The sequence below is a fragment of the Homo sapiens genome, chromosome 5 (genome assembly GCF_000001405.40).
Source record: "Homo sapiens chromosome 5, GRCh38.p14 Primary Assembly".
In the NCBI taxonomy this organism is placed as follows: domain Eukaryota; kingdom Metazoa; phylum Chordata; class Mammalia; order Primates; family Hominidae; genus Homo; species Homo sapiens.
The window spans coordinates 97,655,536-97,679,368 of NC_000005.10; the positions used below are offsets into that span (position 1 = coordinate 97,655,536).

Sequence of the window (23,833 nt, forward strand, 5' to 3'; positions counted from 1 at the left end):
CTGTGAAAATAAGTTTCTGTTATTTATAAGCTACCTAGTTTGTAGTATTTTTATTATAGCAGCCCGAACAGACTAAGACAAGCTACTTCTCACCACCTCCACTCCCATCATCCTGATCAAGGCCTCCATAACCGCTTACCTGGAATATTGCAATAACTTCCTAACTGGTGTCCCTCCTTTTGCCCTTGCTCACTTCAGCAGTCAATGTGGCCCAGTTGAAATGTGAGACAGAGTTGTCAGATCCTGTCACTTTTCTGCTCAGTACTATCCAGTCATTTCCTAGTCAGACAAAAGTTGAAGTCCTAAAAACTGTCTATGAGGCTGTGCACTATTTACTCCTCATCTCCACCATTTATCTTTCTTATGTTAATCCATTCTCTCTTCCTTGATTCTTTTCTGTAGCCACACTGATTTTTTTTTTTTTCTATTCTGTGTATGTGCCAGTCATGTTGTCTCTATCAGGGACTTTGTTTCACTCCAGGATTAAGTCCTTTGGGTCCTTTTCTAAGCCCCTCCTTCAAAAGTCCTTTCCCATCACTCCATCTGACAATGCAATATACGCTCATCCTCCTACCCCTGTGCTCTGTATCCCCCTTACCTACTGCATTCTTTTTATCTGTAGCACTTTTACTCTGTATTTTACTCAGTATCTCTAAGTAGTGGAATCATGAGCGACTTAAATTTTTTATAATTTCTGCATTTTTTCAGTATTGAACAGTGAGCATATTCAGAGGAAGGAGGAATATTGTGGGCTGATGGAGCCAAGAAAGGCCTAGCAGAAGAGGACTGAATTTGCATCCCACAAGGTTGGTAGGCTGGCTAGAAGAGGAGAGACAGCATTCTAGGTCTTAATAAAACATGCACAGAAGGAAGAGGGTACCATGTGCATGGCATGTTTCAGAGGCAGAGAGGAAAGCAGCCAGGCTAGTCTTTTCCTTTATCACCAAAATGTGGAATGTGCAACTGGGAGCAGATAATACAGGGCCCAGGAGTGTGATTTTAGTCAGGTGTGTTTTTTTCTAATGGAAGACATCAGTGGCAGAATTATTCTACTAAATTCTTCTAGTCTTTTATTTTTGTCATTTCCAAGTAATCCTTAGTGTCCTAGGATTTGTGCACATCTTTCAGCACTTTAATGTTCCTAATGACACTCATTTTATGTTATAGTGGAAAAATTTAAGTTTCAATAAGTGCCATAATTATGTCTCTACCAAGATATAATTTTCTAGCCATTCCCAATGGATCTTTTTCTTCCAATATTTTTAAATGGAAAGAGGAAAAATTAATTCAAGAATTATCAATCTGGAAATCAAACTTGCACACTTAGAAATACAAAGAATAAAATCAGGTGCAGTGGCTCACACCTGTAATCCCTGCATTTTGGGAGGCCAAGGCAGGAGATTATGTGAGGCCAGGAGTTCAAGATCAGCTTGGACAATCTAGTAAGTCCCCATTTCTACACCCCCCCAACACACACACACACACACACACACACACACACACACACACACACACACAGCTGGGCATAATGGTACATGCCTGTAGTCCAGTCTATTCCGGAGGCTGAGGCAGGAGGATCACTTGAACCCAGGAGTTCTAGGTTTCAGTGAGCCATTATTGTGCCACTGCACTCCAGCCTAGGTGACAGAGCAACATCCTGTCTCAAAAACAAACAAACAAACAAACAACAACAAGAAAATACAAAGAATATTCACATTTTTGTTTTGTTTTGTTAAGGTGAAAGAGTGTCAAAGGATTTCGATTATAAATGGTTTTTTATATTTCTTTTTCTCAGTCTCATCTCTATCACTTATGTAACTGTGTATAGGAGATACCATCTTGAGAAAAAATTCATCATCCTGTATGAATGTGTCTCTCCAATGTGTGGAACATGGCTATGATTTCAGCATTTGGCTGTCAGTGAAGGGCAACTCAGCACTTAATATTGAAAGGAAGGAAGCTGAGACATAAATACCTAATGTTCTTACTTAAAATCTGCCCTACCCACACAGAGCTGAGACCTTTCCTGGAAAGGGAAACCAGGCATGATATAAAGCATGTTTAACAGTGTTCAGTTTGTGTCAGTGGGCAAATAGTGTGGTTGGAGAAAACACTATTTTGCACAATTTACATGGTAGAATGTACAAAGCATTTTCAAAGTCAGATTTGCAAGTTATTGGGTATATAGTTGTAGGCTTAGAAAAACAGGATGCTAGCACAAATCCAAACAATACAGAATAAGACTAAGTGAGGTAGGGCTTGCGGGTCTTTTTTCTCTTATTGAAGGGTCAACCTATTCATAATGTTTCTAATGATTTTCTGTAAGTACCTTCATACAGACAGCTAAGCAATTTTCTAATTCAAGATGTATACTTCTGCCCTTTGGATTTCTGGAATAGAATATCAACTAAATGTGAATTTAATGGACTAATTTGCATTTCTGGGAGATTCTTTTTTAATATAACAGAGAACAGAAACATGGGTATTATAAGCCAAGCACTTTAATGTAAGGTGATGGAGTCACAAATTAAAAGTAAAACATTCAGTGGAAATATAAACAAACAAACAAATAAAGAAAACAAGAAAAAAGCAACTTATAGGAATAATTGTTTTATAATATTTATTTTTTAATAGTCTGGAATTGTGTGTGTATATGAGTGGTGGGTGAAATTGAAGAGTCGAACAGGGGCTGACCTCATAGTCAGGTCCAATAAGTCAGAGAAATAACCAGGTACAATTTGGTACTTATAGTTTCTCTGACTCATTCTGCAATAACAGGAAAAACTACCACTGGAAGTGGCAATGACATCAGTAAGATTTATTACTCTAGATTTATCAGTTTCTACTTTGGAGAATACACAGTAGAATTTTTGTTACCTACTTTCTGTCCCCTCCTTCCTCTCCAGGCCCTCATCCTTTACTATAACCCCCTAACTACCTCTTTCAACTGAATTTCCATCCATTCAAATTATATTCTCCATTTCCACTTTATTCTAGTTTGTAATTCCTCAACTCTCTTGAGCCTGCTTCCTCACTTTAATTTAGCAATCTTACTTTAGACTGTACCCTCAACTTGGACTGATAGTTAGATTCTAATTGCAATGTTTCTGATTCTGCCAAATCTTGCCTCCTGACATAGTTTTTTAAGAGTTGGCAATCTGCCCCTGAGTTGCACCAAGCGTGGCATGACCCTGACATAGTTTGTCAGCAGCAGTTGCCTGTGTTAACTGCCTGACAGAAACTTCATTATTCTCAATAGAGAATACTCAATAGGTAATGACGGTCACCAACAGTCCATACACAATGAAGAAACGTGACACACAGGTTTAATTTCTCCAGAAAACAGTTGCAAGAATATGCTTTTAAGTGTGTTGGTCAATATTTTGAAATACAGATCACATTAACTTTTGCTAGTGTTTCTCATTACCTTATGGTCATTTCCGCATTTGGGTAGCTAGACTCTGGCAATGATTGCCTTAAGACACAGGTAGTACTGTGGGAAGAAAAGAGTCAATTTTTTATTTTGAGTTTCAGAATATGTTTTTTGTGTTTTGTGGCTCATGGCACATTACGTGTTTTTTGGCTCATGGCAGAAATAAATATTTGAATTTTAAAAGCCTAAGCTATCTACTGAAAATGATAGCGAGCCAGGCTCACAATCTTCATTAAATAAAGACTCTTTGGACTGGGGAAGGGACAAGAAAGTAAAAGAAAATATTTAATCTGAGAGGATCCACAAACCCCTGTCTCCTCCACACTTCTCATCAGTATCTTCTTTGGGGAGATAAAAACCCTAGAGAAGTTTGGACACCTGAGACCAGAAAGGTTCCATAGCTTCCTTACTTGGGCGGAACTTACTAACCAAATACAACCAACAGTGCTCTAGTAGGATGACTGTATCATTTAATCATTAAAACGAGGGCATTTTCCAGCACTTTGGGAGGCCGAGACGGGCGGATCATGAGGTCAGGAGATCAAGACCATCCTGGCTAACACAGTGAAACCCCGTCTCTACTAAAAATACAAAAAATTAGCCGGGTGTGGTAGCGGGCGCCTGTAGTCCCAGCTACTAGGGAGGCTGAGGCAGGAGAATGGCATGAACCCGGGAGGCGGAGCTTGCAGTGAGCCAAGATCGTGCCACTGCACTCCGGCCTGGGCAACAGAGCGAGACTGCATCTCAAAACAAACAAACAAAACAAAACAAACAAACAAACAAACAAACAAAAAACACAAGGGCATTTTGAGGGTGAAAATGGTCTGAGCAAGTGTTAAATCTGATGAAATGTCTGGACAATAGATGTCAATCAGGACCATCCCTGGTAAACCAGGATTTACAGTAACCCACTAATGCAATGAGATAGCATAAGAATTGTTTTTGATGTAGACAGAAAGTAGAATAATGGTCACCAAGCGCTTGGAGAAGGAGGTAATGGGGAGTTATTGTTTAATGGATAGAGTTTTAATTTGGAATGATGACAAAATTCTGCAGTTGGATGGTGGTGATGGTTGTACAACAATGTGAATGTACTTAATGCCACTAAATTATACACTTAAACATGATTAAAATAGTAAGTTTTATGTTATATATAATTAACCACATAAAAAAGTTATTTTCAAAAACGTATTGTTTATAATGGGTTGGTAGATTGATGGACCTGAGGAAGCCATGCAGTTTTTTCCTTGCAGTTCAGAGAGTGAAGAATGTTTTCACACAGCTGAGAATGTTGCAGATTTGCCACTGAGAGCTGGGGAACCTTGAGAAGGGTTGAGGAGGAGGCCCTAGGAGAGACACAAGTTAAGGGCAAACACCCTGATGGGAACAAGGTAATCTCAGATGCAGCAGAGGTGGATTAGAAGGAGTAGACGCCTCTTCTCAAAGGCCTTCACACTACGTAGTAAGCTTCTCAAATCTTAGATTCAGTCTCCTAGGAAAAAAGAGATAGGCTGACCTTGAACTTACAAAGATTCACTTTCTTTTATCTGGGGCTTCAAAGCATAGCTTAAGTTTATTTACAGAAAAAATAAATTGAAAATATAATATGTACTTAACATTCTGAGTTTCATAATTATTATGAATAGCATTTCCTTTCTGATAGCTGTAGACCAAACAAAGGCATAAAGATATTTTTGTATTATGGATCTCCTAATCAGATAATGTATTTTCGGTTTAATACATTATGGCTTAGAATAACATTTGCTTAATATTTAAAGTACTATTTAAAATATTTGTATTTAAATATGTAAAATTATTATATTTTCTTAATTTTTTTTAGAGACAGGGTTTGCTCTGTTGCCTAGGCTGGAGTGCAGTGGCACAATCATAGCTCACTGCAGCCTTGAACTCCTGGGCTCAAGCGATTCTCCTACCTCAGCCTCCTGAGTAGCTGGGACTACAGAAGCACATTATCACACTTGGTTATTTGATGTGTGTGTGTGTGAGTGTGTGTGTGTGTGTGTGTGTGTGTGTGTAGATGGGGGTTTTGCTATGTTACCCAGGATGGTCTTGAACTCCTAGTCTCAAGCAATCCTCCCATCTTGGCATCCCAAAATGCTGGGATTACAGGCATGAGCCACTACACCTGGCCTATATTTTCTTTAATGTGCTATTTTGGAAAGTACTTTGATTTATTGTTTATAGTTCTTACTATTTAATGCAGCCAAACATTTTGTTTTCCTAAATGAACACATTTCAAAATACACCATGGTCATCAATAAGAAAATATGGTTTAATTTACATGTTACTTTTCTGAATTATTTCCAGAAATGCCTCTACTGTATAAAGTACAGTAAGGAAGCAGTGGACAACTGAGAATCTAACAGGTGCAGTGGTTCTGGTTAATGTTTTAGGCCAGCAGGAGGTAGATGGAAAACCCAACCATTTTGTTCATGCTGGATTGCAACCAGGATTTCCCTACTATTCCTTCACTCTGATGAGAATGTTAGTTTCTTGAATATTTCCTCCTGTCTGCTAACTTATTTGCTGAAAGGTATATTTAAAAGGAAGTTTTTAAATATGCATTTTAGGTTGGTTTGTTTAACCATGTTAATACAATAAAATGAAATAAAGCATTTCAAGCCATTTTTTAAATGCCACATTTGTAACACGTTACCCTTAGGGCTGGGTTGTATAAATGCAGCTTGGGCTCTCTCTCTTTTTTTTCTTTCTTTCTTTCTTTTTTTTTCGAGACGAAGTCTCGCTCTGTCACCCAGGCTGGAGTGCAGTGGCATGATCTCAGCTCACTGCAACCTCCACCTCCCAGGTTCAAGTGATTCTCCTGTCTCAGCCTCCCTAGTAGCTGGGATTACAGGTGTGTACCATCACGCCCAGCTAATTTTTTGTATTTTAGTAGAGACAGGGTTTCACCATGTTGCCCAGGCTGGTCTCGAACTCCTGAGCTCAAGCAATCCACCCACCTCAGCCTCCCAAAGTGCTAGGATTACAGGCGTGAGCCACCGTGCCCAGCCTAGCTTGGGCTCTCTTGAAAGGACTTTGTAGATAGAGAAGACTATATGTCTATCTTTATGGTGCTATGAAATGGATGTTAGAAAAGAGATTTCAACATTTTTAGCCTTTGTTTTACTTTGTTTTATACTTTTTGACCTCTCTCCCTAGCAAACAGAATCAAATTCTTTTTGTATTAGAATCTTCCTTTTCTACTACTTGCACACACATTGCCATACAGTATTTAAATTAACTCTCACCCATTTGAAATTTGGCTCCTTGATCAGGAAAACATGACTTATTTGCTATTTTAATGAAAGATTATGCAACCTAAAATCTGCATTGTTAAATTGTAGCCTACCTTTGAACCATTGGTCCAAAACTAATGCATGGCCTACCTTGGATTCTAAGGCAATTTTTCAGTCTGGCCTTACTTTTCACATTAAACATAGCATGTTATGCATATTTTCTTGTTTTTCAGGAAGACTGAGCAGGATTATGCCAAACCATGCTATTTAACAGTGTACACTCCATGCTCCAGAAGCAAAAATAATTTTAGAATAAAAGCCTTAAATGCTTTCTTTAAAATGGGATAGAGAATATTCTCCACATTATTCAGCTCTTTCTTTTGGTTAGGGAGAATAATGAGCTATAAGGGCATTTTTTGTTGTCCACCCCATTTTTCTTTCCTCTTTCTTACAGTTCTGTGATTTCCCTTCTTGTGTCTACACATTCCCCAAGACAGTATATGTGAATCCATTCTGAACACTAGGGATGGACTTGCTTCATTTAATGTTAACGCTAATCTTAGGCACTTTAGAAACAGAGATTACTTTAGGAACCCAGGACTAAGCAAATTGTTGATGACATGCCACTAGAAACAGCATTTAATTTACAAACGGACATATGACCAAATTCAGGTCAATGAGAAAAAGTGAACTAGGGACTTTTTGAGGGAAAATGCAATGGACTGAAGAGAATATCCTTGGGCAAGACACCCTTTGTGCCCCTGGAAACAAAGATGAATGCTGGTCAGAGCTAGAACTTCCACTGTCATCAGTAACCCCAAGGATGAACCAAATCAAGAGGATAGTACAGCCAAGTATCACAGAGAAATTGGACATAGACTTTTGGATTATGGTAAACCTGAGCAACCCTACTTGTGGACTTTGAGTTAAATGGTCCAGTACATTATTTCCTTAGTGTTTGAGTAACTTTGCATTAGGTCTTCTGTTATTTATAGCTTACAAGTATGTAACGGATACTCTGCTAATAGGAGAACTTCTGGATGGAAGAAGCTGCTGTTTAATAGCTTACCCCTAATACTACTAAATTAGGGAAGAGTAGCTTAAAACCATGTTCAAAACATGATCTCAGCTTAACCCATTACATTCTCATTAGTGGGGTAGTAAATAGGCATTGAACTGTGTTACCATTATAAAATGAAGAAACTATACATCTCCAACCTTCCATGATCTCTATGGAAGTCTTTTATAAAACTTTGATTTAGAGTCCCAAGTTAGGAAAGTATGTATTAACTCTACTCATACCTCTGTCAATAGTATATATGTGTTGAAAAAATACATTTACTAATCTTATGCAGCATTTTGCAAATAATTCTGTGACTGTTCTGTCGAACCCACATGCTAGACTTACACATCTGGCATCTCACTTTATTTTGGGATAGTAACAACTTCCTAACAAAGTGTTGCTTCTTGCAGAGAAGGGTGCTAACCCTTCAACCTAACTGCGTTATTCAATAGGAGAAAATATTTATCTGCATATTTTTTCTTAGGTATGAATTTTGCATTTCTCTTCCCTATGAATATATTCTTTCTAGGAGACCATGATATTCTGAGCCTATCATAGCGATGTAAGGGGTTGTTACTTAAAAGATGTGTGGTTCCAATTTAATTTATGTGGCCTGGAAAACAGAGGATTTGCATTCAAACTAAAATTTGCCCTTGGGGTGGTCTTTAGAGGTACTGTGAATATATTAGAGATTGCCATTTAACTTCACATTTTCAAGTTAATTGTGTGCAATTAAAATGCTCCTGTTCAATAAAAGGTTTATCAAAAAGCTGTGTCTTTCATGAAGCTGGGAAATAGTACATGTACATCAAGTTAGAGACATAACATGGCTGCTGTTATCAACACATGATTAAATTTCACACACACACAATTGACAAAACTTCTGTCATTCTTTTCGTTTTGGACAATGTATCTTTTTATTTCATAGTCTTTATTTTATTTCTTATATGTTATTTACTTACTTTCACAGCAATTTCTGTCCTGTAGAGACTTACATTTGGGTTCTTTGAAAGAATTAAGCAAACTATGTCAATATAGCAAGCTTAGCAACTCCTTTTCAACTGTGCTTTATTTCCTTTACAGAAATGAGTTTGCTTGTTTTTGTTTTCAATTTAATAAAATGAAATATTAACATGTCAGATTTGTAAGGGATCTTCAATGTCAGTGAGTTCTGTTCTTCACCTCATGTGTAAATTCTCCTTAAAACAAACTCCAAGCCAACAGAAAAGATTTGGAATTTCAACCCTGCTACTTAGTGGCTATCAGTTGGACACACGTGGCTTATTGAAATACAGTTTTCTCATCTATAAAATGTCAGTAATAACATTGACCTCAGATTTGATGTGATAATTATTTGCTTCACAATCCTTTTTACCTATATGTAATTAGCAAATTTGATGAGTGTTTGTTTTATATATTTATGTAAGCAATAAAGCTGATAAAAAGATTTTTGAAAGAAAAAATTGTGGAACACATAACTAAATCCTTTTCTCCAGTTTTTTATTTACTTGTTTGAGATGCTGATCATTTTCTTAATAATTTATTTCTATTTCTTCCATTTATAATGCAAGGATTTATGTAGAAAATGTAGAAAACACAGGCGAGGATAGTGAAGAAAATTTAAATTACAACCAGTTGAAACCTAGGGCAGCTAATATAGATAGATAATTTCCCCACTCTTGGAAAACAAAAAGCCCCCAGTTATTTATTGTATCTGACAAATAAGAGACTAATCATGATAAATTAATGAGTGTGTCTATTATAGTCTAATAATCAGAAATTATGCATTAGTTTGCAGGTGGTTCAAGGCAAATGGGAAGAAAAAGGAGCTGGTTGGTTCCTACGCTGTTCCTCTCTCTAGACATATTATTGTAGGCTTATTGTAGGCTGAGTTAGAAAACAGTGCTCTGCCTGAGCTCCCAACCTCAAGCTTACCACATGGGTGCTTTGATGCCCACCCTCTCTTCCACCATGGCATCAGGGAGGCAGAAGGCCACAGCCATTGAAAATATCCTTTTTTAAAAATTTTATTATTATTATACTTTAAGTTTTAGGGTACATGTGCACAACATGCAGGTTTGTTACATATGTATACATGTGCCATGTTGGTGTGCTGCACCCATTAACTCGTGTTTAGCATGTATCTCCTAATGCTATCCCTCCCCCCTTCCCCCCACCCCACAACAGTCCCTGGTGTGTGATGTTCCTCTTCCTGTGTCCATGTGTTCTCATTGTTCAATTCCCACCTATGAGTGAGAACATGCAGTGTTTCGTTTTTTGTCCTTGCGATAGTTTGCTGAGAATGATGGTTTCCAGTTTCATCCATGTCCCTACAAAGGACATGAATTCATCATTTTTTATGGCTGCATAGTATTCCATGGTGTATATGTGCCACATTTTCTTAATCCAGTCTATCGTTGTTGGACATTTGGGTTGGTTCCAAGTCTTTGCTATTGTGAATAGTGCCGCTATAAACATACGTGTGCCAAGCTTCATTTCTGCTCACAGACTTCCTAACCTATTTTATAGGTATGGGTTATAAAAGCAATTCTCCCATTCCTCTTTTGTCAATCCCACTTGGGTGGCCCAGCCCCTCTCTGTGTATTGAGGGAATGGTTGGTACCTGCTGCCTTTGAGATTCCATGAAAACTGACACAAGAGTCTTGTCTTTACATCCAGTTATAATCGCTCCCTTAGGATACATTATATGAAGTGGATTTCTGCATCTAGGAATGTGACCATTTTAAAACTCTTGACACATGCTAGTAAAGTTCTACTTCCCCAAATAAAAATATTATACCAATTCACACTTTCATCCTTACTACATAATACTGAGAAAAGAAAAATAGGGTAAAGGAGGAGAACAGGACAAGAAGGAAAAAGCAGGGGCCTGAACCTGAGAAGAGAGGAATGGTATAGAGAAATGGGAAGAAGTGCATGCAGGAGATGGGGTAAAATCTCCTGTAACTCAGGTAAATCCATGTCAAGTCAAACTCTAGCATAAATAAATATGATTAATCTCTGCCAAATTATTTCAATGGGCAGTATATTTAATAGCTAGTTATTTCCTGGGTCTAGCCTAGAAAGAGTTATTGAGAGGTAGATTTACATAATCATCCTGGAACTCTTTCCATAGCAAAATGTAGAAAAATTGCAAAATATAGCAGTATTAATTCAGGCCATAACAGTATCTGCAAAGGCAGCACGGTGTGGTAGAAAGAAGATGCATTCTGTCTCCAGATTCTGCAACTTACTAGCTGGTTGATCCTGAGATAGTTGCTCAATGCTAATGGGTCTTAAGCTTCTCAACCCTAGAATTTGAATAATAGTGTCTTTCTTGCTCAGCCCATGTGGTAATTATGAGATGAGATAGGATGAGTTTTGGAATTTGTGAACTGTAAAAATCTTACAACAATCAGATATGTTGCCTTGTCAATGACTTATCAGCACCAAGGCATACTTGGAAGTTTCTAATTGATATTTTTTTAATCTATTTTTTGTCTTGTTGACAGTATCCATGCCATTGTTTTGCCACAAGTGAGATTGTGTATGTCAAGTGTACCTTTCATTTTTCTGGGTGCTTAGAAGCTACTCAGTAAATATTAGTTCTTCGTTTCCTCTCTCCTCCCAGTTCCCCAACTATTTGCTTTTTGGAAATATCTGCTTATTTTACAACCATATTGTCATGACTCATTCTTTTCAAGTAGACAACAGAAAGTATGTGTATGCAGGGAACCTAATGCTCCACATTCTCATATTTATTGCGTTTGATATTATTTGCATGGAAAGCATTTCCTTCCCAGCCTAATTTGGTGAAAATGATGTCAACTGTTTCCCTATTGTTCATCTGAAATCAGCTCCTAGATTTAATGAATTACATATCTTGGCTTTATTTTCTCATTTAATTTAATTTTATTGATGTAAAAACAATAGGAATAACAAAATGCTTCCAGTGTCAATGGTAATTAAAAAAACAAACAGAAAGTTAATAAAATGCATTATTACTTTGGCTAGATCCTTCCTTCTTTATTCGCTTCAGAAAAAACAATCCAATCTTGAGAGAAAATGTAGAATGTGGTTTTGCGCCAGCAGTAATTAGCAGGAACAGCTTGACGAGAAACAGTGATGGAAGAATCAATGACATCAATAAAATAAAACCCAAATAAGGTTTCTGTTTTTCATACTAGGTCTTTACATATCAACTTAACCAAATGATTGAGAAATGACATTCTTAATCCCAAACAGTGTGCCATAAATATATTGTAAACCATTTTGAACTTTTGAAACTATGTCAAGCTTTTCCAGTCTCCTAAGAGAGTATACAACATGGTTTTATAACCAATAATGCCTTCCCATTAAACACTACAGTTGCTTTATCAAATAGAATTTTTAAATGAGGTTTAAAAATTGCAGAAAACCAGGATTAAGTGAAACATTAAAAATGTTACTGATGTTCCACACTCAGATCTTGATTGTAGGCATAATCATGAGAAGGGTAATATTTTTAAATTTTTAATTGGTTTGCTTTAATTTATCAAACTTTCATTTGGCTCGATCTCAATTTCTTCTCTTCCCTCTCTCATGACCATAAATCAAAAGATCCAGGATTTTTTTCCATCAGAATTTGCTGATGCTTTACGTATTGTTAAAAACAAACCCTTCTCGGTGAAACATGGGAACAACATGCCCCACACTTAGACCAGGGTTTTTCCACTTTAGCACTATGGATAGTCCAGATTTGATAACTCTTGGTCGTGGGGAACTCTCTTATGCATTGTATTGAGTTCAGCAGCATTCCTCGGCCTCCCCCCACTAGATTTCAGTAGAACTTCCGAGTTCTGCTTATCAAAAATATATATAGACACTGCCAAATATCTTCCTGGGGGCAAAAAGCACAATTGGTTGAGAATCACTTTCTTAGACTGAGACTTCTATATTTCAGATGAAATACATATAACTAACTTGATACACTAATGTGGCCAAAAAGAAGGAAGTCTAGCAGAGATAGGAAATCAAACCACAGTAGACTATAGTGGTTCTCAATCATGACATGCATTAAAAATACCCGTGAGATTTAAAAATACTGATACACAGACCAATCCCATATTAGTTGACTGATGATCCTTGGATATAAGGACCAAGAATCACTGCCAAATTTACTAAAGTAGGTTACTCTGTGAATTTGATATACTACCTTTAGGGGCAAACACACAAGTTCTCCTTTTTGCAGTGTTACCCATCTTTTAATTTCTGTCGTTTCAGAGTCTGGAGTTGCTTCTGTTGGCCATCAATTTCCTGTGGTGCAGAGGGGCTACAAATATAATACAGATTAAACTCCCTGCAGGAAGTCTCTTATGGATAAGAACAAGTTCAGGTAAAGACAACACAATTCCTTTCACTTGCAACCACTTTCCAGTGTGGAGCCTAGAACTGTAGTTCTCACAGTGAGATTTCTGAGAATCACCAGCACAACCTAGGAACTTGTTAGAAATGCAAAACTTCTGACTACTCTAGAACTACTGAATTAAAATCCCTTGGGGTGTGGCCTAGCAATGTGTGTCTTAGTAAGATGATTCTGAAGTATACTAAAATTTGAGAACCATGAGCTAGAGACATTCTCTGTATTCACTTATGTGTTTTCAGTGTTCTTCCACCTGAAACCACACTTCACAAGACTTAAATCACTGACATACACTTTCATTGACTCTTTTAAATACTGCTGCTTAGGATTCCATTTTCTCAGAGATGTTTGTTGTGGAGTCTATGACATATTTATGCAGGTTATAGTCCTCAGAAAAGGAGAACTGGAGGTAAAGGAGAGGTCGAGGGAAGCAGAGAGCACTAGACACAGACCTGGCCCAAGTGAATGAGCACAGAAAATCTCCAAACTTGCTGCACTATGGGGCCATTCAGATCCCCTACAACAGCTTGGTTTGACTTCCACGGGTAATAATTAGCAGCTAGTGGGCCAGAAGAAAATGACATAATGATAGTTATTGAGAAGAGGAGGCCACATGCAGAAAAAGGAGAACTTGATTTTAGGCAGAGCCACTGAGGATTGAGGAAGGAGAGAAACAAACGCACCTCGTACCTTTCCATATTACCTTTATTGTAAGTGAATTACATTCTCGCATTCTACACCATTACATTCAGTAGTTTTACTGTTACAGGTCAATAATGGAGTTTGGCTTCTATATTACCAAGCGTTACTTGCTAGTTGGTATAATTATCCCTTGGTGGACAAGATTGGGAAACTTACTTTCTAGTGGAAAGTATCAATATAATTTTTATGTGGATACTAGGCTATAGAGGGGCAGTGGTAGAAAATGGGTTTTAATTAGAGGATATTGAAGGAGTCTAGGAGAAAGATTCTGTTGCAGCAGTCCAGGAGAGTAACGGGAGAAAGTGTGATAAAAACGTAATGTTAGCTTTGAGATCTAGTTTTCTTTTCTTTTTTTCTTTTTTAGAGACAGGATCTCATTTTGTTGCCCAGGCTGGAGGGCAGTGACACAATCATAGTTAATTGTAGCCTCAAACTCCTGGGCACAAGCAATCCCCCTGCTTCAGCCTCCAGAGTAGTTGGAACTACAGGCATGTGCCACCATGCCCGGTTAATTTTTTTATTTTTTTTGTAGAGATGGGCTCTTGCTGTGTTGTCCAGGTTGGTCTCAAACTCCTGGCCCAAGTAAGTTGTCCTTCCATCTCAGCCTCCTGAAGTGTTGGGATTACAGGTGTGAGCCACCTTGCCCAACCATAATTGATTTCATTACAAGAGAGGAATCAAGAATGACTCTTGGGTTTTGCTTAATCACCTAGGTGGATGTAAAATAACTGAAACTGAGAAATTTAGTAAGAAAGAGTATTGAAAAGGTTGAGGAATCAAGTTGTTTTGACCATATGAATTCTAAGATTCTTATTATGAAAACAAATAAAGATACTAAGAAAGCAGAATAATAAACAAGTCTAGAGTACAGGAAAAGGGGATCAGCTTTGAAATTTAAATTTGGGAATCCTTTGCATGTAGATTCATAAAGCCCTGAGAATGGATAAAATCATCCCAATGAAAAGAGAGAAGAAAATAGAAGAGATCCCTGAAGTCTGGGGTTTTTCAACTTGGTATTTCTTTAGGCTCAGTAGCCTGTTATTTTTATCATGCTGAATTCTAATTTCCTTGGATTTAATGTTACACTTTATGATGGTCATATATAAGACTTTTTTGTTTTCTTTCTCATAATTTTTAACTGAGCAATTAAATTAAAGCAGCCCACTGACAATAGCTTCTCTGTTACCATTATGGTATTGCAGCTTCCCATTGGGGATGACAGAGCTGGTGCTCAGGTCATCAACATCCTGCTGAACCTATGAGAAAGCATTTGGGACAACTTGACAATGCATGGTGAGTCAGAAAGTTTGCTTTTTGATTCAACTATTTAAAATTCCCTATTATTTTCTTTGTTTTTGGCTGCCTTTTGCTTAATTGTCTTGTCAGCTGTCCTAAGCCTGACAGCCATATGAGGTCAAGCAGAAAAACTGAACTGGGGAAATAATCATAGTTCTTCAATGGATTGTTTCTGAAAACTGAATATGAGGAGAGAATATTCATAGGTATGGCATAACTTCCATTTTGTAGCTGGAAGAAATCATACCCCCAAATTATGACAATTTATAGAATTATGAGTTGAATGTTTGTGTAAGTATATGCCTTCATATTTTTAAACATGTATAGGCTGCATTATTTTCTGCCAATAAATTTTATGGCTTTTATATCAAGTAAAGATATGTTGCTAATATGATCCCTGCAGTTGATAGATAATATAACTTTTTGTGGGCTAGACTAACCATGTGGCTTCCCAGTTGGGCTGTAAAGGAATCAACAGCTAGTTTAGAGTTACTGGGGGCAGCATTTGGAAGATTTAACTTGTCCAGTTTGGGCCACTTATTAATATTACATATTGCTTATCTATCTTTTGCAATTCTTTGGGGTCCCTTCCGTAGACGTGGTGCTCAAGGAAGCTTTGATGGAAGGCTTTCTGTAGACAATTCACTTGGTTCTGACAGGCCAAGAAAGCCTGTCTGGAGCCAAGATAAACCCAAGGCTCATTTCTGCATTTATTTATTAATACAGCAAATATGGTTATTTTTTGGAGATTGTCAGAAAATCAGTTCTACATACTAGATGTGAACTTGCACTCTGATACTAGTTCTGTGTTCATTTGTATTTTCTTTTATTTCTTGGTAAAAGCTCAGAAAACAACTGGATAGAAATGTGATCTTTTGGCATCTTTGAATTCACTCTTACTGAGATATCAGTTTTCCCGTCAAAGGAAAAATTAAGAAAATGAAAACCTATGATTCTGTAATATTGACTTTCTATTGAACTAACAAGTAAATTAGAAAACAGGAAATGAAAGAGATCATGTCTAGCTTAGGGAGGCATCTATCGAAGGCTCAATGTGAAACCCATTTTGCTCTGAGCATATCTAAATGGGTACTACAAGAAATATAAATATTAGCTAGATTGCTGGTATCTTGGTTTCCTTCCATGTAGAATTCTATATAGAATTTCTATCCATTTGATGTAGATGCTGGTTTTTAGAGAGCTGCAGGGGTAAGAGAAGGTAATGTAGATGTTCTCACTTTGTTAACATAAAATTACATAAACCCACACTCACTTGAACTTCTCATAGCACAGTGATTAATTCATCATTTACTGGTTACTCACCGTTTTCTAGCACTGTGCTGTGTTCTGGGTATGAAATTCGAGAGATACGGGCATCCTTTTTAAGGAACACAAAGTTTCTAGCCTTGCTCTAAGATTAAATCTGACTAGATCAATAGAACTCTAGCTCTTGTATTTTCTTGAGTTTTAGAGACTGGAGCTACCAAATTTTGATGGTTAATTTTGTTTGTCGAATTGACTGGGAGATGGGATGCCCAGCTATTTGACTACACATTATTCTGAGTATGTCTGTGAGGGTGTTTCTGGATGAGATTAACATATGATTTGGTAGAATGAGTAAAGCAGATTGTCTCCCATAATGTGAATGGGCATTGTCCAATCCTTTGGAGGCCCAAATAGAACAAAATGTGGGATAAGGGAGAATTTACTCTCTCTACCTGCTTTAGAGATGGAACATTGTTCTCCTGCACTTAACCTGGAACTACACTACTGGCTCCCTGGACTTCCAACTTTCAGACAGCAGATCATGAGACTTCTCAGCCTCCACAATCATGTGTGTCAGTTCCTTATAAATCTTATTTATACACATGTGTGTGCATGTGTATGTGTGTGCATGTGTGTGTGTGTGTATGTGTCTTATTGGTTCTGTTTCAATGGAAAACCCTGACTAATATACCAAAGAATTCCAGGAGAAGATGTACAGAAACAAAGTGTGTCAAAATCCCAGAGGGTTACCCTATAGAAATCTAAGGGACTACTTCTTGTAAAATGTATTAGATACTTCATTACTACTAACTCTGAAAACAACAGTCTGGGTTTACCTTTGAGAATGTGCCTTTGAAAATAAAGTTACAAATATCTAAAACTAAAGTTAAAAAGTGTAGATCAGACAAGCTAAGAATAGGTCTATCTACCACCCAGAAAAACACATGCAAGTTTGCCATACAGTCAAAACTGAATTTTTGATTTATGGGAAGGGGACACAAAACATTTGGAAGGGCCTTTGCCCAATTTGCAATGAGAAAGAAACCAGAACTCTACATCCACGCAGCAAAGAATGGAGCTGGGACACCAATAGCCATTTTTCTTAGCTTCTGACATAAAACCTTTAATTTTTTTATATACCTGGCTATAGTGAGCCAGGGTCAGTCAAAGGTCACTGACAAAGCAGATGCCCAGATTTCCATTTAGTTACACAAAAAAGTAGCTTCTTGATTAAATTTCATGTAATATGCAGCCTACAACACAAAACCCATAAAAGGATCAAGTGAAAAAAAACCCAGAGGATTATTGTGGTCTTTAAAAACAATATTCAGTGAGAACAGCCTACCACAGGTGCACTCAATTGCTGTGCTTTTGTGAGGGATCACTTTATTTTGTAAAGTTTTATGCTCTAAAATTCAAATAAGGTATGGAAAGAAATGATGTGGAGGCATTTTAGCCCAAGGTCTCAGTGTGTATTCATGGTGTACTTAGATATCACGGGCAGTGGAAGCTGATCAGCATTTGTCTAGCAATTTTTTAGTCAGCTCAAAATCAACACAGAAAGTTCTAGATTTTGTAAGGAACATTTTTATGGTCACTTTTTTTTTTGTTAACTAATATATTTATACTTCATGATATGCCTGCAAATAAAGTATATGCCTGAAAAGAGATCCATGATTATAGGGAGAAAGCTCTACTCTCTTTCAGGCTCCCTGCTTTTTTTTTTTAACTTTTAAGTTCAGGGGTACATGTGCAGGTTTGTTATATAGGTAAACTGTCATGGGGCTTTGTTGTACAGGTTATTTGATCACCCAGATATTAAGCTTAGTATGCATTGGTTATTTTTCCTGATCCTTTCTGTCCTCCCACCCTCCACTCTCCAATAGGCCTATGTGTATGTTGTTCCCCTTTATGCGTCCATTTATCTCCCACTTGTAAGTAAGAAATGTGGTATTTTGTTTTCTGTTACTGCATTAGTTTCCTAAGGATAATGGCCTCCAGCTCCATCCATGCCCCTGCAAAGAACATGATCTTGTTCTCTTTTTATGGCTGCATAATATTCCATGGTGTATATGTAACACAATTTCTTTATCCAGTCTATCATTGATGAGCATTTAGGTTGACTTTACATCTTTGCTATTGTGAATAGTGCTGCAATAAACATATGTGTGCATGTGTCTTTATAACAGAATGATTTGTATGCTTTTGGATGTATACTCCGTAATGGGATTGCTGGGTTGAATGGTATTTCCGTCTTTAGGACTTCGAAGAATTACCACACTGTCTTCCACAATGGTTGAACTAATTTACATTCCCACCAATAGTGTATAAGCATTCCTTTTTCTCCACAACCTCACCAATATGTTGTTTTGTGACTTTTTAGTAATAGCCAGTCTGACTGGTGTGATATGGTGTCTTGTTGTGGTTTTGATTTGCATTTCTCTAATGATTACCGATGTTGAGCATTTTTTCATATGCTTGTTGGCTGCATCTATGTCTTCTTTTGAGAAGTGTCTATTCATGTCCTTTTCTCACTTTTTAATGGGGGCTGTTTGTTGTTTTCTTCTTGTAAATTTGTTTTAAGTTTTTTATAGATGCTGGATATTAGACCTTTGTGAGATACATAGTTTGCCAAAATTTTCTCCCATGATGTAGTTGTCTATTTACTCTGTTGATAGTTTCTTTTGCTGTACAGAAACTATTTAGTTTAATTAGATTAACACTATCAATTTTTCTGTTTGTTGCAATTGCTTTTTGGCATCTGCCTCATGCAATCTTTGCCTGTGCCTATGTCCTGAATGGTATTGCCTAGGTGGTCTTCCAGGATTTTTACAGTGTTGAGTTTTACGTTTAAGTCTTTAATCCATCTTGAGTTAATTTTTGTATATGGCATAAGGAATGGGTCCAGTTTCAATCTTCTGCATATGACTAGCCAGTTCTCCAAGCACCATTTATTGAATAGGTTCAAATAACACAATCTGAAATGGCAAGGGGGATCTTACCACTGACCCCACAGAAATACAAATAATCACCAGAAAATATTATGAATACCTCTATGCACATAAACTTGAAAATTTAGAAGAAATGGATGCATTCCTGGACACATGCACCCTCCCATGCCTGAACCAGGAAGAAATTGAATCCCTGAACAGACCAATACCAAGCTCTGAAATTGAGGCAGTAATAAATAGGGTGTCAACCAAAAAGAAAAAGCCCAGAACCAGATGGATTCATACCTGAATTCTACCAGATGAACAAAGAGGAGCTGGTACCATTCCTACTAAAATTATTTCAAAAAAATGAGGAGAAGGGACTCCTCTGTAATTCATTCTATGAGGCCTGCATCATTATAATACCAAAATCAGGCAGAGATAAAACAAAAAAAGAAAACTTCAGGCCAATATCTTTGATGAACATTGATGCAAAAATCCTCAACAAAATACTGGCAAAGCAAATCCAGCAGCATATCAAAAAGTTATCCACCAAAATCAAATAGGCTTTACCCCTGGGATGCAAGGTTGGCTCAACATACACAAATCCATAAATGTGATTCATCACATAAACAGAACTAAAGACAAAAACCACGTGATTATCTCAATATATGAAGAAAAGGCTTTTGATGAAATTAAATATCAATTTATGTTAACAAGTCTCAGTAAACTAAGCACTGCAGGAACGTACCTCAAAATAGTAAGAGCCATATTTGACAAATCCACAGCCCACATCATACTAAAAGAGCAAAAGCTGGAAACATTTTCCTTGAAAACTGGAACACAGCAAAGATGCCCTCTCACCACTCCTATTCAACATAGTATTGGAAGTCCTGCCCAGGACAATCAGCGAGAGAAAGAAATAAAGGACATCCATATAGGAAGAGGGATAGTATAGATATGAGATTATGTCATCTGTTTGCTGATAACACAATCCCTGTTTGTGGATGACATAAGTTTATCTAGAAAACCTTAAAGTCTCAGCTCAAAAGCTTCTTAAGCTGATAATCAGCTTCAGAAATGTCCCAGGAAATAAAATGGATGTGCAAAAATCACTAGAATTTCTTTACACCAAGAACAGTCAAGCTGAGAACCAGATCAGGAACGTACTCCCATTCACAATTTCCACTAAAAGAATAAAATACCTAAAAACACAGCTAACTAGGGAGGTTAAAGATCTCTACAATGAGAACTACAAAACACTGCTGAAAGGAATCAGAGATGTCACAAACAAATTGAAAAACATTCCATGCTCATGAATAGGAGGAATCAATATCATTAAAATGGACATACTGCTCAAAGAAATTTATAGATTCCTACAAATTCCTATACACACTATTTTTATTTAACTACCATTGAGATTCTTCACATAACTAGAAAAAAGCTACTTTAAAATTCATGTGGAACCAAGAAAGAGCCTGAATAGATGAGGTAATCCTAAGCAAAAAGAACAAAACTGGAGGCATCATGCTACATGACTTTGAACTATACTACAGGGTTACAGTAACCAAAACAGTGTGGTACTGGTACAAAAATAGATATATAAACCAATGGAACAGAATAGAAACCCAGAAATAAATGGTCACAATTTTTTCATCCTCATTGGTTAGAAGTTGTGGGTTTTGTTCTGTTCCACGTGTGGACTAAATCTCCTGTTTTTTCTTCATGTATGCATCTCTTTTTTATTACCACTAGAAATAAAACATGGGACCAACATGGGACCAAAATAAAACATGGGACCAACAAACATTACCATTTACCCACTCGCTATTTAAAAAAAGAGAAAGACCAAAAAAAAAAAAAATGCAGTGTTAAAGGACTAGAATCAGTTCCTCACACTTTTTTGAGTCACTTTCTACATGAGTGCTACTGTCCCCAGCCATTTCTTGCTTTTCTTGTGGGTGAATGCTTACCATCATCACTCACCTTGTGGAGTTTCTTGTGAGCAACTGCATCTAAGTAGTTGTGCATAACTGGTCCGAATCTCTTTCTATCAACACATTAACACCGTTATTGTTTAGCCTCTATTTGTCTAGGTTTTCTCAACAGTAATATTGTTGTCATAATGCCTTCTGGTGGTATTGTTATATGAATTGAAATAATACAATAAAAATATCTGATGTTGTGTCTGGCACACAAAAAGTATGCAATACCTAAAAGCACTTTAGTATTTTTTTTTGTTTATTCTACAAATATTCACAAGCACTTTCTATATGGTTGACACTGGCCTAATTCCCAAGGAAATAGAGGTGAAATAGACATCTGATTTCCTGCTAAGGTTAAGTGATATCTACAATGAATTATTAACCTACCTACAAATCTTCATGGACCTCTGATTGCATGAGAAGTAACAGAAAATAAATAAAGTCGTATACAAACAGCTGATACTCACTAGCACCCCCTGTTTGGATTTACTGGCTGTTTATGGCTAGCATTTGTTCTAATTGGTCATTAAAGGATGCAGGGAGTAGTTTAAGTAGAATTTCAGCTTTGGGAGCTGGTGGTGAAGTGGGATGCTTTTTCCCTGAGGTTGTCCTGGGGAGGAAATCCTCCATTTTTGGTTTACAAGACTAGAGTAATAAAGTTATACTACGAGGACATCTTCATTTAGGTAGTTTGTTTTCAATTAAGCTGGTGACTGGTATAAAAATAAGAATAATAGAAAAATATGCAACGAATGCAGTTTGTCTGATGAATGATGAAAGGGTGTTTGATGGGTTGTTCTCCGATTCAAGTAAGTGTGAATAGGTCAGCCACTAAGATTCAGAATAAACACTGACTTAATTGTTGGAATGTCATACTTCGTTGTTTAGATATATGAAGTATTGGGATAATTGCTAGAATGAGGATAGAAAACACAAGGGCTAGTACACCCCCTAGTTTGTTTGGGATAGACTGTAGGGTTGCATAGGCAAATAAAAAGTACCACTCCGGTTTGATATGGGGCAGAGTGCTAAGGGGGTTTGCTGGGGTGTAGATGTCTGGGCCTCCTAGGAAGTCACGTGAGAATAGAACTAGAATTAGCAGGAGCAGGAGAAGTGGAATTAAGCCTAGAATATCTTTAATTGTGTAATTAGGGTGAAATGGGATTTTGTCAGTCTGATGAAATTCCTGAGGGGTTATTAGATCCTGTTTCATGTAGGAATGAGAGGTGGATGGCTACTAGGGCTGTGATAATAAAAGGTAGGATAAAATGGAAAGTGAAGAATCATATAAAGTTGGCTTTATCAACTGAGAATCCACTTCAGATTCATTGTACAAGGTTGGTTCCAATTATGGGGTGGCTGATAGTACATTTGTCAGTACTGTTGAACCTCAGAACGATATTTGGTCTCATGGAAGTATGTAACCTATGAATGCTGTTGCTATAACCGCAAATAGAAGAATAATGCCAATATTTCAAGTTTCTAGGAAGGTGAATGATCTGTAGTATAAGCCTCAGCCTACATGTAGAAATAGGCAGATGAAGAATATTGAAGCCCCACTAGCACGTAGGTAGCGGATAACTCAGCTGTAATTTACATCTCAGCAAATGCGTGTGACTAAGGAGAAGGTAGTTGAAGTATCTAACTTGTAATGTATAGCTAGGAATAACCCTGTACCGATTTGAAGGACCGGGCAAATATCTAGAAGCGAGTTGAAGTTTCACCATGCAGAGATGTCTGATGGTGCAGGTAGGTCAATAAACGAGTGGTTAATCATTTTTATTAAGGGGTGCATCTCATGAGTGTTAGTCATTAGGGTTCTTATAATTGAAGTACAATGATGATTTTTCATGTCATTAGTCATAGTTATATTCCATTTAAGAATTAGAACATATGTTGTATTTTTATTATTACTCTTGTTATAGGCCTTGTGGGGCTCTCTTCAAAGCCTTCTCCTATTTATGGGGGATTGGGGTTAATTATTAGTGGGGGAGGGGGTTGCAGCATTGTATTAAACTTGGTGGGGCTTTTGTAGGTTTAATAGTTTTTTTTAAATTTATTTGGGGGCAATAATGGTCATTTTTGGTTATATGACAGTGACAGCTACTGAGGAATACCCTGAGACCTGAGGGACAAGTGTTGCTCTGTGGGGTGCTTTGCTATTAGGGTTGCTGTTAGAGTTGGTGTTAGTTATGTGAATAATTGATTATGATGACGTGGAAATTGTAATTGATTTTTTTTTAATGAGATACAGAAACAGCTGGATTGGTTACAGATCAGCGTTTGCCTTATTTGAACACAGTTTGAACAGTTGTCTACATTTGATTGGCCAAAACTCGGTGATTGGCACAAATGTAGGCTATGGTCTGGTTATACCTCCACTTGCTTTTTTTTAAAAAATTTTATTATTATTATACTTTAAGTTTTAGGGTACATGTGCACAACGTGCAGGTTTGTTACATATGTATACATATACCATGTTGGTGTGCTGCACCCATTA

General features: G+C 37.2%; 1 long non-coding RNA gene and 1 pseudogene across 1 annotated transcript in view; one reads left to right on the top strand and one right to left on the bottom strand.

Moving 5' to 3' along the window:
• Positions 1 to 15,516, top strand: part of LINC01340 (long intergenic non-protein coding RNA 1340) — a 166,356-nt gene extending 150,840 nt beyond the window's left edge. The window contains exons 3-4 of the long non-coding RNA NR_105028.1: positions 13,016 to 13,127; positions 15,059 to 15,516. This is a non-coding gene — a long non-coding RNA (long intergenic non-protein coding RNA 1340). The remainder of the gene's footprint in view (positions 1 to 13,015; positions 13,128 to 15,058) is intronic.
• On the bottom strand, positions 22,012 to 23,146 carry MTCYBP40 (MT-CYB pseudogene 40; annotated as a pseudogene).